We start from the raw sequence: 11485 nt of genomic DNA, 5'->3' as shown, positions 1-11485 counted from the left end.
CAAAAAAATTTTTGAAAATTAGCCGAGTATGGTGGTGCATGCCTGTAGTCCCAGCTACTCAGGAGGCTGAGGTGGGAGGATCACTGGATCCCAGGAGTTCGAGGCTGCAGTGAGCCATGATCACACCACTGCACTCCAGCCTGGGCAACAGAACAAGACCCTCTCTCTAAAAAGATAAAAATAAAAATAAAAAATAAAAAGGGCTCCTGAAGTCTAAATGTTCCAGAAACATGGAGAGGGAAACAATGATTTCTTTGAGCAATATGGGTACAGAAATATAGCTAGGTAGGTTGAATAAGATCTACTATTCGGTAACACAACAGGGTAACTACAGTCACCATTAATTACCATACATTTTAAAATAACTGAAAGAGGCCGGGCGCGGTGGCTCACTCCCATAATCCCAGCACTTTGGGAGGCCGAGGCAGGTGGATCACCTGAGGTCAGGAGTTCAAGACCAGCCCAGCCAACATGGCGAAACCCCATCTCTACTAAAAATACAAAAATTAGCTGGGTGTGGTGGTGTGTGCCTGTAATTCCAGCTACTAGGGAGGCTGAGTCAGGAGAATCGCTTGAACCCGGGAGGTGGAGGTGGCAGTGAGCCAAGATTGTGCCACTGCATTCCAGCCTGGATGACAGAACAAGACTCCACCAAAAAAATAAAAATAAAAATAACTAAAAGAGTATAACTGGAATGTATGTAACATGAAGAAATGATACATGTGTCCAGGCACAATGGCTTACACCTGAAATTCCAGCCCCTTGGGAGGCTGAAGCAGGAGGATCACTTGAGCCCAGGAGTTTGAGGCCATACTAGGCAACATGGCAAGACCCCATCTCAGAAAAATATATAATCGATTAAAAAATTTTTAACAAAATGTGAAACATCACAAATGAGGGTTCTCTGTAAGTTCTCTGACCTGTTGATTAGATGCTTTAGAAGCATTCTTTTTTTTTTTTTTCCAAGACAGGGTCTCACTCTGTCACCCAGGCTGGAGTGCAGTGGCATGATCTTGGCTCACTGCAACCTCCACCTCCCTGGTTCAAGCGATTCTCATGCCACAACCTCCCAAGAAGCCAGGATTACAGGTGCACACCACCACGCCCAGCTAATTTTTGTATTTTTAGTAGACATGGGGTTTCACCATGTTACCCAGGCTGGTCTTGAACTCCTGGCCTCAAGGGATCCACCTGCCTCGGCCTCACAAAGTGCTGAAATTACAGGCATGAGCCACCATGCCCGGCCAGATGCATTCTTTCTGGGTTCCACAGAAGGGCCCCCCATTGACCCTGAGACCTGCTGTCTGAGGCACTCCTCCTATTTCCAGGCACGACTCCTTCCCGGGGTGAATATCCCAAGCTTCATTTGAAAGGAGCCGTAATGATGAGGCAAGAAGCCTTTTCCCAATCCTCCCCAAGGGCTGGTGGTGAACCTCACTCCTGTTTTTAAAGCATTAGCTCAATGAGGTGGCAGTGAGGTCCAGGTATCCACTTTTCTTGATTAAACCGAGAATGCCTTTGCCTTCCATAAGGTCCAATTCCAGACTGGGTGTTGGGCTTGATTTAGGCTTGGGGGGCCTCCCGGGCAGGGCAGCAGTGCAAGTCAGCACCTGGTGTGTGGCCAAGATTATATTTCCTGTCCCCAGGTCCAGTGCATGGACACACAGGCTGGCAAAGGAATCGGCCCTCACTGTGACTGTGGGGCTTCCTTCCCTCCTTCCCTGGCCTATTTCTAAGGATGCCTCGCTCATCCCCAGACTCCAAGGATGCCTCTCCAGCTTGGTTTGGGTTTTTGGTGTTTTGGGTTTTTTTTTTTTTTTTTTTTTTTTTGAGACAGAGTCTCGCCCTGTTGCCCAGCCTGGAGTGCAGTAGCACGATCTTGGCTCACTGTAATCTCCACCTCCCAGGTTCAAGCAATTCTCCTGCCTCAGCCTCCTGAGTAGCTGGGATTACGGGTGCATGCCACCACACCCAGCTAATTTTTGTATTTTTAGTAGAGACAAGGTTTCACCATGTTGGCCAGGCTGGTCTCGAACTCCTGACCTCAGGTGATCCGCCCACCTCAGCCTCCCAAAGTGCTGGGATTACAGGTGTGAGCCACCACGCCCAGCCTGGTTTGAGTTTTAAGTGTCACCAGAGGCAGACTGGGGACTCCAGGGCAGAGACTCACTCTTCCTTAGTTACATTTCATCCCAGCCATGGCCATGACCCCTATTGTCTCCCCGAAGTGTATCAAGGCTACTCAGCTGCAAAGTGAGGGGTTGGCTCTCACCCCAAAATGTGGAGGGTTGGCTGGACGCAGTGGCTCATTCCTGTAATCCCAGCACTTTGGGAGGCCGAGGCAGGAGGATTGCTTGAGGCCAAGAGGTCGAGACCATCCTGGGCAATATAGCCAGACCCCCATATCTAAAAAAAAAAAAAAAAGCAAAAAATTGGAGGGTCCTAGGGGGTGTCAGGGCCAATATGTTCTAAGGTCACTCTGACCCACCCTCCTTTCAGATGAGGAAACTGAGGCTGAGAAGGCAGGTAAGCCTATCCAGGCCCACAGTGGGGCTTCCAGACTCCCAGGTCCTCCTCCCTGGTGCAAAGACCACAGGATACCAGGGAATGGGTCACCTCAATAGACAGCACAGGGACGTGGTTAAAAGCACAGGCCCGGGGCTCACACTGCCCAGGCTCAGCCTCTTCTCAGCCACTTACCAACCCCAGGACACCGAATAGCCATTTAACTCCTCTTTAATAGCCATTGAGCTTCAGAGAGTCCATTCATAAAATAGATAAAAATAGAAGCTGTTCCATGCAATAGATGCCCAGTATCTGACATGCAGTGAAGCACTCAATAAATTCTAGATATTATTGTTATTAATGTAGACATCTTTCATCAGATTCTCTTTGTGAATTACAGCAAGTTTATAGGCTGGGGGGTGGATATTGAGAGCACTTCTTTGCTATTTGTGGCTAGGCTTGTAAATCTGAAGGGTTGCTTTGGTTTGCTATTAGCATTCAATTGTGCCTAGAGATACTGTATAAATTTTAAAAAGCCTGTTTATGCCAGGTGTTGTGGCTCACGCCTGTAATCTCAACATTTTGGGAGGCTGAGGTGGGAAGACAACTTGAGTCCAGGAGTTTGAGACCAGCCTGGACAACATAGTGAGTCCCTGTTTCTTTCTTTCTTTCTTTTCTTTTTTTTTTTTTTTTTAAAAAGCCTGTTTGTGATGACTGTTCTAGACATAGATACTTTTACTTCAATGGAAGAGGATATTTGATATTATATCTTCCTGAATAAATGTACATAATCTATCCTATTAAAAAAAAAAAAAAACCCCAGCCAGGCGTGGTGGCTCATGCCTGTAATCACAGCACTTTGGGAGGCCGAAGTGGGCAAATCACGAGGTCAGGAGATCGAGACCATCCTGGCTAACACGGTGAAACCCTGTCTGTACTAAAAATACAAAAAATTAGCAGGGCGTGGTGGCGGGCGCCTGTAGTCCCAGCTACTCAGGAGGCTGAGGCAGGAGAATGGCGTGAACCCGGGAGGCAGAGCTTGCAGTGAGCCGAGATGGTGCCACTGCACTCCAGCCTGGGCGACAGAGCGAGACTCTGTCTTAGAAAAAAAAAAAAAATTCCCAGCCAGGTGTGGTAACTTACACCTGTAATCCCAGCACTTTGGGAGGCCAAGGCAGGCGGATCACAAAGTCAGTAGTTCGAGACCAGCCTGACCAAAATTGTGAAACCCCATCTCTACTAAAATACAAAAATTAGCCGGGCGTGGTGGCACATGCCTGTAATCCCATCTACTCAGGAGGCTGAGGCATGACAATCGCTTGAACCCAGGAGGTAGAGGTTGCAGTGAGCCGAGATCGTGTCACTGCACTCCAGTCTGGGCGACAGAGCGAAACTCCACCTCAAAAAAAAAAAAAAAAATTCCAGCTCTATCCAAAACACAGGCAATAACAAATGCTGGCAAGGTTGTGGAAAAGGGGGAACCCTCATACACTCTTGGTAGGAATGTAAATTAGTACATCAACTATAGAGAACAGTTTGGAGGTTCCTCAAAAAACTAAAAATACAGCTATGACACGATCCAGCAATCCCACTGCTAGATTTATCCCCAAAAGAAAGGAAATCAGTCTATGAAAGAGATCTCTGCATTTCATGTTTATTGCACCACTGTTCACAGTAGCCAAGATTTGGAAGCAACTTAAGTGTCCATTGACAGATGAACGGATAAAGAAAATGCGGTATTTATACACAATGGAGTACTATTCAGCCATAAAAAGAATGAGATTCTGTCATTTGCAACAACATGGATGGAAGCAAAGTTCTTTCTGTTAAGTGAAATAACCCAGGCACAGGAAGACACACTTTGCATGTTCTTCCTTATTCATGGGAGCTAAAAATTAAAAATAATTGAACTCAGGCCAGACGCGCTGGCTCACGCCTGTAATCCCAGCACTTTGGGAGGCTGAAGCAGGTGTATTACTTGAGGTCAGGAGTTCAATACCAGCCTGGCCAACATGGTGAAGCCCTGTCTCTCCTAAAAATACAAAAATTAGCCGAGCATGGTAGCACGCGCCTGTAATCCCAGCTACTTGGGAGGCTGAGGCAGGAGAATGGCCTGAGCCTGGGAGGTGAACGATGCAGTGAGCCGAGATCGTGCCACTGGACTGCAGCCTGGGCGACAGAGCAAGACTCCATCTAAGAAATTAATTAATTAATTAAAACAAAATAAAATAATTGAACTCATGGAGATAGAGAATAGAAGGATGGTTACCAGAGGCTGGGAAGGGTAGGTGGCAGGGGCGGGTGAAAGAGGGGATGGTTAATGGGTGCAAAAAATAGTTAGAAAAAATGAATAAGACCTTGTATTTGATAGTACCACAGGGTGACTACAGTCAATAGGAATTGTGCATTTTAAAATAACTAAAAGAGTATAACTGGATTGTTTGTAACACAAAGGATAAGCGCTTGAGGAGATGGATACCCCATTTATCCTGATATGATTTTTTTTGAGACGGAGTCTTGCTCTGTTGGCCAGGCTGGAGTGCAGTGTCACTATCTCAGCTCACTGCAACTTCTGCCTCCCGGGTTCAAGCAATTCTCATGCCTCAGCCTCCCGAGTAGCTGGGATTACAGGCATGGGCCACCACACCCGGCTTATTTTTGTATTTTTAGTAGAGACGGGGTTTCACCATGTTGGTCAGGCTGGTCTCGAACTCCTGACTTCCTGACCCACCCGCCTCGGCCTCCCAAAGTGCTGGGATTACAGGTGTGAGCCACTGCGCCCGGCCCCCCGATGTGATTATTATACATTGCATGCCTGTATCAAAATGTCTTATGTGCCCCATAAATATATACACCTACTATGTACCCACAAAAATAAAAAAAAAAAAATTCGAGTCGTTGGTGAAGGATTAGGATGGATCTCAAGGTTTTGTGCCTGGAAGTCCCCTTCACCCTTCTGCACTCACCTCTGCACACATTTCTGTCTTTAAATGACATCCATCAATCAACTACATTGATGTAGTTGTAGTGCTGCTCACTGCACAATCAGGACTGTTTGCAGAGTAGGCATTTGGAACATCACTCCATGGGTCGCCACTGAGGCAGAGCCAAAGGTGAGTAACTGTGGCAACTCACAATGTAGTATTCCGGTGGAGAAAACCAACAAAGTAAAAAAACAGTCCACAAGAGGATGCCTGCCTCCCTCCCTCCCTCCCTCCTTCCCTCCTTCCCTCCTTTCATTCCTTTTTTTTTTTTTTTTTTGAGACGGAGTCTTGCTCTGTCACCCAGGCTGGAGTGCAGTGGTGCGATCTCGGCTCACCGCAAGCTCTGCCTCCCGGGTTCACACCATTCTCCTGCCTCAGCCTCCCTAGTAGCTGGGACTACAGGTGCCCGCCACCGCACCTGGCTAATTTTTTGTATTTTTAGTAGAGACGGGGTTTCACCGTGTTAGCCAGGATGGTCTCGATCTCCTGACCTTGTGATCCACCCGCCTCTGCCTCCCAAAATGCTGGGATTACAGGCGTGAGCCACCGCGCCTGGCTGGACTGCATGCCTGCCTGCCTGCCTGCCTTCCTTCTTTCCTTCCTTCCTTCCTTCTTTCCTTCCTTTCTTCCTTTCTCTCTTTCTCTTTTCTTTCTTTCTTTTCCTTTCTTTCTTCTTTCCCCTTCTTCCTTCCTTCTGCCCCCTTTCCTTTTTTTCTTTTCTTTCTTCCTTTCTCTTTCCTTTTCTTTTGTCTCTTTCTCTTTCCTTTCTCTTCTTTCTTTCTCTCTCCTTCTTCCTTACTTCTCTCTTTCTTGCTTTCTCTCTCTCTCTCTTTCCGTGTGTGTGTGTGTGTGTGTGTGCACACTGACATTCATGACTCCAGCTCCCCAAGATGGGGCGTCTTTGTCCGTGGGATCCAGTGGAGATTTTCTTTCTGCCTGGATTGCAAATCTGGGGCAGGAAAGCAGAAAAAGTATCAGGAAGCCAGGCATGGTGACACGCACTTGTAGTCCCAGCTACTTGGGACACTGCCGCTAGAGGATCCCTTGAGCCTGGGAGTTCAAGGCTGCAATGGCTATGATCGCACCACTGCACTTCAGCCTGGGTGACATAGCAAGACCCTGTCTCTAAAAAAAAAAAAAAAAAAGTATTAGAGAACTGCCACTTAATGCAAGAAAAGGGAAACTGCACTAGGAAAACATATGCATAATTTAACAAAAGGAACACGAATATTTGATGAAGGTGCAGGAGGAACATACTCTCATACACGGTTAGAGAATGAATTAGTTTCAACTTTCTAAAACCCTACCTGGCAAATAAAGTCTTTACATTTTTAAAAGTATATAGTTTTTGGTCTGTGCATATTTGTGTGTGTACAGAAAAACACTGGAAGGCGCTAGGCAAACATTTATAGTGGTTTTACCTAGTTGAAGGAATTATGGATAATTATTTTTATGTTTTCTTATAATTTCTTCCAATGCTTCTGCCTTTCCTCAAAAATGTTTTTTTTTTTTTTTGAGACAGAGTCTTGCTCTGTTGCCCAGGCTGGGGTGCAGTGGCGTGATCTCAGCTCACTGCAATCTCCACCTCCCGGGTTCAAGCGATTCTTCCGTCTCAGCGTCCTGAGTAGCTGAAATTACAGGCATGCACCACCATATGCCCGGCTAATTTTTGTATTGTTAGTAGAAACGGGGTTTCACCCTTTTGGCCAGGCTGGTCTCGAACTCCTGACCTCAAGTGATCCGCCCGCCTCAGCCTCCCAAAGTGCTGAGATTACAGGCGTGAGCCACTGCGCCCAGCCCAAGACAAGACATCTTTAAAAGGAAGGGGGAAGGAAAGAAAGGGCTCGACAAATGTGGGCACGCAGGGAGATGCCTTCATTTGCACACATGAGTCAGGTCAGGTCCACCTGGGGGGCAGAGGAGGAAACTGAGCTTCCAAACTAATATTTCTCCCAACACAAAGACTCGGGACCATGATTACAGCTAGTTCTGTGGCCCAGGGCAGGCAATCTAATCCCTCTGAGACTCAGTTTATTTATTTATTTATTTATTTATTTATTTATTTATTTATTTAGAGATGGAGTCTCACTCTGTCACCCAGGCTGGAGTGCAGTGGCGCGATTTCAGTTCACTGCAACTTCTGCCTCCCGGGTTCCAGCGATTCTCCTGCCTCAGCCTCCTGAGTAGCTGGGACTACAGGTGCCCGACACCACGCCTGGCTAATTTTTTTATATTTTTAGTAGAGACGGGGTTTCACCATATTGGCCAGGCTGGTCTCGAACTCCTGACCTTGTGATCTGCCCACCTTGGCCTCCCAAAATGCTGGGGTTACAGGTGTGAGCCACTGCACCCAGACTATTCTTTCTTATTTTTTTAGAGACAGGGTCTTGCTCGGTCGCCCAGGCTGGAGTGTAGTGGCGCAATCATAGCTCTCTACAGTCTCCAACTTCTGGGCACAAGTGACCCTCCCACTTCAGCCCCCTGAGTGACTGGGACCGCACTTGGCTCTTTTTTTTTTTTTTGGAGAGATGAACGCTCACTATGATGCCCAGGCTGGTGTTAAACTCCTGGGTTCAAGCAACCCTCTTGCCTCTTCCTCCCAAAGTGCTGGGATTACAAATGTGAGCCACTGCGTCCAGTTGATTTGTATTTTTTAATCTGAAGCTGCTCTGGTGTTAGGACTGACTTGCTTCCTGAGTACAGATTTAGATGTCACTACAGTACTGATTCCCGAGTGCCCTGAGGCACGCGTCCTCCTGTGTGGGGAGTCCTTATGGTCCCTTCCGGGCTTGATTCTTCTCAAATGTTTAAGCATTTTTATTTATGTATTTATTTTTTTGAGACAGAGTCTTGCTGTGTTGCCCAGGCTGGAGTACAGTGGTGCAATCTCAGCTCACTGCAACCTCTGCCTCCCAGGTTCAAGCGATTCTCCCACCTCAGCCTCCCAAGCAGCTGGGACTGCAGACACGTACCACAACACCTGGCTGATTTTTTTTTTTTTTTTGAGACAGAGTCTTGCTGTGTTGCCCAGGCTGGAGTGCAGTGGCAAGATCTCGGCTCACTGGAAGCTCTGCCTCCTGGGTTCACGCCATTCTCCTGCCTCAGCCTCCCGAGTAGCTGGGACTACAGGCGCCCGCCTCCACGCCCAGCTTTTTGTATTTTTAGTAGAAACGGGGTTTCACCGTGTTAGCCAGGATGGTCTCGATCTCCGGACCTCGTGATCTGCCCACCTTGGCCTCCCAAAGTGCTGGGATTACAGGCATGAGCCACAATGCCCAGTGAAGTGAAACACTTTGTATGCTCTCCCTGCTCCAGAGACAGAGGCCACTTCCCAAAAAGACATGAGGCCACGGACACGCAGTGAGCTGGCAATCTGTGCTTAGTTTTATTTCCTGGAATTGGCAAGGGGAGTCACTGCTCTCAATTGGACATCGAACTTCCAAATGGTGAAAAATGAGGGTTGTGTGTATATCATGGGTATCTCTGTGTGTATGTGCGTGTGTGTGTGTTTGTGTGTGTGTGACAGAGAGAGACTCTGAGAGAGAGAGAGATAGAGATCGAGTTTGGCGGTTGGGCACAGTGGCTCACACCTGTAATCCCAGCACTTTGTGAGGCCGAGGCGTGTGGATCACTTGAGTTCAGAAATTTGAGATCAGCCTGGCCAGCATGGTGAAACCCCATCTATACTAAAAATACAAAGATTAGCCGGGCATAGTGATGCACGCCTGTAATCCCAGCTACTCGGGAGGCTGAGCAGGAGAATCGCTTGAACCCAGGAGGCAGAGGTTGCAGTGAGCCGAGATCATGCCACTGCACTCCAGCCTGGGCAACAGAGCAAGACTCCGTCTCAAAAAATAAATAAATAAAATAAAATAAAATAAAATAAAATAAAGAGTCTGGGGAGCTACAGAGAGGGGATAGCAGAGTTATTTCGCCCTGGGCTGTAGTCATCCTTGTTGAAATCTGACTTCGTTCATTCCATGGAATTTGGGGAGGGGGGTGTATATGGAATAAATGTGTCTGGGATAGCTGCATTCAGCATTGCATACACCCAGCTAGGGAGATGGATCACCTTCTCAGGACAGCTTGATCCAGCTGCCTGCTTGGGGTCGGAAGCAAAGACAAACCGGGACCTCCACAAGAAGTCCCATCCCCTGGATACAAACAGGGGGAGGGTGGTGGCAGCACCTGGCTTCTTACTGCATGCAGGTATCAGTTGGCCACGGGAAGCCCCATTTCAACACCTTCAGAGGCCATCTGTCAAGTGCAACTATTCTAGATCCTACAGCTGTGATCACATGCACTGAGTGGGTGTGAAGAGCTGGGCGTCCAGGACTTTCCAGCCCAACCCCGCAGGGTCTTTCTTCTTGGCCCCAGTCTCTGGCTTCTGTTGACGTAGCTGCGAGGACAAGCTCTCTTTCCCCACATTCAGGACTGTCACGCCATCCACATGCAGTGTGAGGTCGGCCTTTCCTGGGGTGGTTGAAGAATCAGTGTGCAATTTGCAGTTGACCTTTATTATTATATTATATTATATTATATATATTATATTATATTATATTATATTAATTTAAATAGAGACTATGTTGCTCAGGCTGGAGTGCAGTAGCTATTCACAGGTGTAATCCCACTGCTGATCAGCACGGGAGTTTTGACCTGCTCTGTTTCTGACCTGGACCGGTTCACCTCTCCTTAGGCAACCTGGTGGTCCCCTGCTTCTGGGAGGTCACCAATGAATGCCAAACTCCTGGGATTGAGCGATCTCCTCACCTCAACCTTCCAAGTAGCTGGGACTACAGGCATGAGCCACCACACCCAGCGCAGTTGACATTTCTTATGTGCACCCAGAAATGTCATCCTGGTGACCAAGGAGAGTATATGATGCCCCCTGCTTATAAGAGCCCAGTGCCCACACTATAATGGGGTTACCAAGTGTCTATCAATGCTCAGACAAAAAGTCTTCCATGAGAAGGAGTGAAGCTCAGCCAGGCACAGTGGCTCACGTCTATAATCCCAGCACTTTGGGAAGCAGAGGAGGGAGGATTACTTGAGGCCAGGAGTTCGAGACTAGCCTGGACAACACAGTGAGACCCAACCCCCGCCACACACACACCCAAAAATTAAAAAATTAGCCTAGCACGTTTGCAAGTGCCTGTGGTCCCAGCTACTCAGGAGGCTGAGTCGGGAGGACTGCTTGAGCCCAGGAGGTCAAGGCTGCAGTGAGCTATGATAACATCACTGCACTGCAGCCTGGGCAACAGAGCAAGACCCTGCCCCTAAAAAAAAATTAAAACATTAATAATAAAAATAAAATAAAGATCACCCAGGCAGCTTAAAACTCAGGTTATCCCTGTGATCAGTGCTGCAAGGTATTGACCATTAGCATTGACCAGTGTCTTCAAGAAGCTTCCATCAGAGGCTGCAAAATGGTACCCACAGGCCAAGCCCGGCTGTAGATTGCCTTGACTGGCCCATGAAGAGTTTGAAAATAATTGTAACTAACTGCCAATATTCAAACATTTGGAGATTTCCTGTGGAAAAAAAATTCTGCATTTTCCAATTCTCTGGCCACGCGGAGCCCGCATTCGGGCCTAGTAAGTGCCCAGGAGCTGGGCTACAAATGCAGCTACCCCCTTTAGAGTTGGCCTTGGTGTCCACAGGCCTCTCTCCCAGGGGCGGGTCTGCTCAGGCCTGTGGACACCTCTCCAGCCCTGCTGGAAAAGTGCAATTCCTGGAGTGTGTTCTGACCAGGAAGGACTCCTCAGAGCTCCTGAGGAAGGCATGGGCCCCTGGCCTGAGGCTCACTGCAGCTGTCCCAACCCTGTCACCAGCTCTGGGCTGTGGTTTGGTTTGGTTTGGTTTGATTTTAGAGACACAGTTTCACTATGTGATCCAGGCTGGAGTGCAGTGGTGCAATCATAGCTCACTGCAGCCTTGAACTCCTGGCCTCAAGTGATCCTCCCACCTCAGCCTCCTGAGTAGCAGGGACTATAGGT

General features: G+C 47.9%; 1 annotated feature.

Moving 5' to 3' along the window:
- Positions 10750-11249: an enhancer, noted in NCBI's record as "H3K27ac hESC enhancer chr7:97652101-97652600 (GRCh37/hg19 assembly coordinates)". NCBI's record gives its function as "activates a minimal SCP1, AML or CMV promoter by ChIP-STARR-seq in naive H9 embryonic stem cells {active_cell/tissue: H9 hESC(naive)}" and the evidence as "EXISTENCE:reporter gene assay evidence [ECO:0000049][PMID:30033119]".

This window comes from Homo sapiens, chromosome 7, assembly GCF_000001405.40.
Source record: "Homo sapiens chromosome 7, GRCh38.p14 Primary Assembly".
Lineage (NCBI taxonomy): Eukaryota > Metazoa > Chordata > Mammalia > Primates > Hominidae > Homo > Homo sapiens.
This window is presented reverse-complemented; position numbering and strand designations above follow the sequence as displayed.